General features: G+C 42.0%; 1 annotated feature.

The window, feature by feature from the left end:
* Positions 220 to 1,419: an enhancer, noted in NCBI's record as "BRD4-independent group 4 enhancer chr10:34166034-34167233 (GRCh37/hg19 assembly coordinates)". NCBI's record gives its function as "activates an origin of replication core promoter dependent on BRD2, P300/CBP, MED14 and CDK7 cofactors, and independent of BRD4, by STARR-seq in HCT116 cells {active_cell/tissue: HCT116}" and the evidence as "EXISTENCE:reporter gene assay evidence [ECO:0000049][PMID:35650434]".

Here is a 5,546-nt window from a genome sequence, read left to right on the forward strand (position 1 = left end):
CCTTTCTGAGTACTGTGTAATCATCGTGCAGAGATAATTGAGATTCTGGTTGCAACTGAAATCTCTGCTCTTCCGGAAGTTTCCCTTGACTTTGGGATTCTCCAGTTAATTTTTGTAAGTATATTCTATGGAGATATAAATGCCCTAAAAAAGACTGCCATGCAATGGAAACCTCTGGTTTTACAAAGGAGATTCCAGCTCTATTGAGAAAGAGCAGAGAACAAATGTGGAAAAAATACAAAGACACAACCCCACAACAGCAAGAGTGAAGAGTTTGGAAGTGATACATGCAACAGGGCAATTGTTTGGCAACTTCCTTCCTACCAAGAGCCAAAACTGCAAGACCAAGCTAGGAAGAGTACACAGCGAATCACGCGGCCTGTGAGTACTATTAAATAAGGGAATAATTTAGGTGAAGATGCTGTCCTGGGCTGAAAACTCCTGCATTGTAATTGGTGGATAGAAAAGAAACATTGGGAAAATCTCAAGTGAGAAATCCTTGGTGGATTTAACTCTCCATTCCCACCATCCCTTAGCAAACCTCCCAGCAAGTTGAGGAGTCGTGCCAGTGGCATACAATGTTTTGGTTTAATAGACGATTGTTTATCTTGGCTGCTCAAATTCCACATGTCATCTCCTACCTTCTCATGGGTTGAATGATGCTGAATTCATGGAAGAGATAAGAAAACTTGCCCTTTGGAATAAAATAAAGAAAATACATTTTGATTTATCAGATACTTCATAGAATAAATGAAGGTATACCTATTCTTTAAATATCCCTCCACCATCCATTATTTTTCCCACTTTTACTTTCCCAGGAATAGATATTAGCAAGACTGAACAATGATAATTTACACCAGCCTCAGACCATTCAGGACATGTCCTATTTTTTTAAATTAATTTTACATTTTTTATAAAGAATTTTTTAGCAGCTTTAGGTTCACAGCAAAATTGTACAGAGCTATAAAGATTTCCCACATACTCCCCAACTCCATATGCATAACTTTCTGTATTATCAACATTCCCCATGAGAGTGGTCTGAGACCTTTGTTAAACTAAAGCAGCCTCTCTGTCCAATCACAACACTGAGTGAATTATAATACCCACCATCATTCTCCAGCTTTAAATAAAGTAAGAAAAATAACAGAGTATCTTATCATAGAAGTGACTTTTAAGTAATCATTTCGTCAAGATTCTTTTGGTAAATACAGGATTTAATTTTCCTACAGTCACTTCTGTAGGAAAATTAAAGTAGTTTATGGAAAAGAAAATGTGAGAGGTTTATTAAATTAGGGAAAACCATGGCCAATAGAGCAAAAAAGTGACGGGGTGAGGATGGTATTTAACCAACTAGCCCTACTGAAAAATACTAAGATGGCATACAGTTCTCTATCTTTCCATAAGTGGTGATTTTAAAATAATATTTGGAAGCTTGCACCTCACTCCCAAAGATGCAGCTGCTGTGCTGTTTTTCTTGGCATGTTTAAGGATCCTCCATGGGTACTGAAGAAACCTGAGCTTCGAAACTCAGCAACTCTAGAACTAGACTGCTGAATGGTTCTCTGGAGAGTTCAAATATTTGAGTGAAAAGATATGTCGAAAACTCACTTCTTGTTTGGATGCAAGGAAATATGGACACGGGACCAGGTGTGAAAACATGACGGAGCTTCTGTAAATGTGTTGGGTATCGCTGGTCTCACGGGAAGATGGGAAATGATCCTTCCCAAGCTGTAGAATCTTGGCCGAAAAACACAGCTTCCCGATTTGTACTAAGGAGACGTGTCCACCTCAGCTTTGGTGACCCGGTTTTCTTGGGGCTTTCAATTAGGAGCACATTCCTTTTCTCCCTTTACTGTTTTCAAGTTTAGTTCAGGTCAATAAGCACCTGAAGCTTTTTGGACAGCAAATAATAAGCTTAATCAGCCTCCTGATGAGTGAAAATGCTCTCTGAGTCTTACAGCACTTGAGCTCTTAGCATTTTCCCATTCAAGATAAGCCTAGATAATATCTAGGATCAAATGTGGTTGATGAGGTTTGAAGTGCCCAAGTGCTTACCCCTTTTTTTTTTTAAAGAGAACTTAGCCCTATTCCACCCATAAAAGTGGACTATTAAATGCATGGTTTTCTCGCACCAAATCTTCCCTTTTTAAAAAAATTTTCTTTGAAGCCCAAATTTAAATGTGTCAAGAAATTTCTGCAGCAAAGTTAGTTGCACATGGGATTCGAAGAGGCCAAGGAAGAGCTTGTTTCAAACTTGGAATATGGCTGAAATACACAATAGTCATGTCTGTAGAAGTTACTAAAGTCTGTTGAATTTGACGAGGGCTGGTAGAAATTGAAATAGTGGTTTTATGGAAATCAATAATCCATAAGCAATTCATGGTGGCTTTTTCAGAAGCATGTCGATGACTCTTTTCTTTCTTTCTCTTTCTTTCTTTCTTTCTCTTTCTTTCTTTTTCTTTCTTTCTTTCTCTCTTTCTTTCTTTCTTTCTCTCCCTCTTTCTTTCTTTCTTTCTTTCTTTCTTTCTTTCTTTCTTTCTTTCTTCTGTCTCTCTTTCTTTTCTTTCTTTTTTTTTTTTTGTAGAGATGGGGATCTCACTATGTTGCCCAAGTTGGTCTTGAACTCTGAGCCTTAAGCGATCCTCCCACCTTGGCCTCCCAAAGTTCTGAGATTACAGGTGTGAGCCGACAACTCCTCCCACCCCTGTGACTTTCTTTGGTAAATTAACTTAGATACTATTCATAAACGAAAGAACCAAAAAGGAATATCTGAGTCATCCTGTTAAGAGGGGGAATTTATTTCAGTAAACTTGGCACAGAGCTCATCTGCCCTAGGAAAAGCCCTCTCTGTGGCACCTGAGTTGCATGGTCCTTGCCTAGTGCCCTTTTAATTTCTGCTTAGCAGTTGAAAGCATGGCTTGCTTCTCTGTCAGTCTGCTCTGCTGCTTCTGATCTCCCAGGCCCCTAGACCCAGACCCAAGGCCTGCTCTACACAAGACCAAGGCTTACCTGGCAGTGTGCCTGAGAAGGGCCACTTTATCGCTACATCCTGATGATGATGAAAAGGCATGGCCATCTGTAACGGATACTCACCCCAAAGTGAGCATTGTCTCTGCAACACAGCATGGGAAACCTAGGAATGACACATATTCTTGTCAAATTTCACCTGCAGTGGACCTTACAGATAAATGTGAAGTGAGTTTTGGTTTTGGACAAAGCTAGGCAGTGCTAGTTTGAGATACAATGCAGGGTCTTTAGGTCTTGCCCAAATTCTCAGGTTTCAATTGAAATAAATTCAGCTTATTTAATTCATGGTGTATTAGGCCATTCTTGCATTGCTATAACGAAATATCTAAGACTGTGTAATTAATAAAGAAAAGAGGTTTCATTGGCTCACAGTTCTGCAGGCTGTCCAGGAAGCATGGCCCCAGCATCTGCTCAGCTTCTGGTGAGGGCCTCGGGAAGCCTACAATTATGGTGGAAGGCAAAGAGGGAGCAAGCTTGTCCCATGGCTACAGCGGGAGCAAGAGAAAAAGCGGGCAAGTTGCCACACAATGTTAAGCTACCAGATCTCTTGAGAAATAATTCACTATCATGAGGTCAGCACGAAGGGGATGACACACAACCATTCATGAAAAATCTGCCCCACCCCCCCCCACCCCCAACAAACCACCCTCCCACCAGGCTCCACCTCCAACACTGCTGTGAAAGGAAAATAAATCTTGGCATTCCAAAAATCACTAAGCTAAAGGGAAAGTCAAGCTGGGACCCGCTTAGGGCAAACCTGCCTCCCATTCTATTCAAAGTCATCCCTCTGCTCACTGAGATAAATGCTATCTGATTGCCTCCTTTGGAGAGGCTAATCAGAAACTTAAAATAATGCAGCCATTTGTCTCTTACCTACCTATGACCTGGAAGCCCCCTCCCCGCTTCGAGTTGTCTCATATTTGCTTCCAGTTGTCTCTCCTTTTGGGACCAAACCATTCTTCATCTTACACATATTGTTTGATGTCTCATGTCTCCCTACAATGTATAAAACCTAGCTGTGCCCCAGCCTCCTTGGGCACATGTCATCAGAACCTCTTGAGGCTGAGTCACGGGTATGCATCCTTAGCCTTGGCAAAATAAGCTTTCTACATTGACCCTGTCTCAGATATTCAGGGTTCATACTGGGAATTACATTTCAACATGAGATTTAGAGGGGACAATATTCAAACCATAACATATGTGTTATAGGAACCCAGAGGGAAACACTCACTCCTGATTAGAAACTTCAGAAAACAGCAATTATGAAGAAGATAGCACTTGAGCAAGACTGCGCAGAGGAAGCAGAAAGTGGATCTGTCATGTGGAGGAGTTGGGGAGTGGCAGTGTGCAACGGAAGCAGAGGTGGTGGGGCAAAAATGGGAGTTGACAGTAGGAGGAGAGGTAGGAGAAAAGCTGAAAAAGCAGCTTAAGGGTCCTACCCCAGTGAATTCTGACTTCTATGCCAAGATATATTAGTCTGTTCTCACGCTGCTAATAAAGACATAACCAAGACTGGGTAATTTGTAAAGGAAAGAGGTTTAATTGACTCATACAGCATGGCTGGGGAGGCATCAGGAAACATACAATCATGGCAGAAGGCACCTCTTCACAGGGTGGCAGGAGAGAGAATGGGAGCCAAGCAAAGGGGGAAAAGCCCCTTATAAAACCATCACCCCATGGTTCAATTACCTCCCACCAGGTCCCTCTCATGACATGTGAGGATTATGGGAACTACAGTTGAAAGTGAGATTTGGGTGGGGACACACCCAAACCATATCACAAGGGATGTAGATTATTTTCTGGACACATGGGAGCCATTGAAGATTCCTGAGAAGGAGAGTATCATAATCAGAGCAGATTTTTAGAAAGACGAATCTGACTGTGCTAGTGGATTGGATTGGAGACAGGAAGGACAAGAAGCAGACATCAACTAGGAGGCCATTGAGTAATTCTCAAGTGAAATGAGGGTGTGGGTCACAGGTGACAGTGATACGGGAAGTCAGGCACAGAAGGGAGATATGTGAGAAAAGAGGGATCAGTGACTTGCATGTGAGTTGGACCTGAAGGGAGATGGAAAAGGGAACTACAAGGCTACCATTAGTTTCCAAGTCAAAGTGACAATGGCCTCTAAGTTACCAAGGATGGACAAAGGGAATCAATCTTAGATATGTATCCAAGTCTAGCCACAAAGTTAGAGGACAGCAGGACAGAAATGAGCTAACAGCCAGAAACGCAGATTGGTGGTGGGGAAGGGTATGCACAAGGTAGGACCCTGTCTTAGTTAATTTTGTGCAGCCATAATGGAATAACTGGGACTGGGTAATTTATAAAGAACAGATATTTATTTCTTACAGTTCTGGAAGCTGGGAAGTCCAAGGTCAAGGGGCCCACATCTGGCGAGGGCCTTCTTGCTGTGTCATCTCATGGCAGAAGGTGGAAGGGCGAAACAGCATGTGTGTGCAAGAAAGAGAGGAGGCCAATGTTATTCTCCTTTCATCAGGAGCCCATTCCCACAATAA

The sequence above is a fragment of the Homo sapiens genome, chromosome 10 (genome assembly GCF_000001405.40).
Source record: "Homo sapiens chromosome 10, GRCh38.p14 Primary Assembly".
NCBI classification, from domain to species: domain Eukaryota; kingdom Metazoa; phylum Chordata; class Mammalia; order Primates; family Hominidae; genus Homo; species Homo sapiens.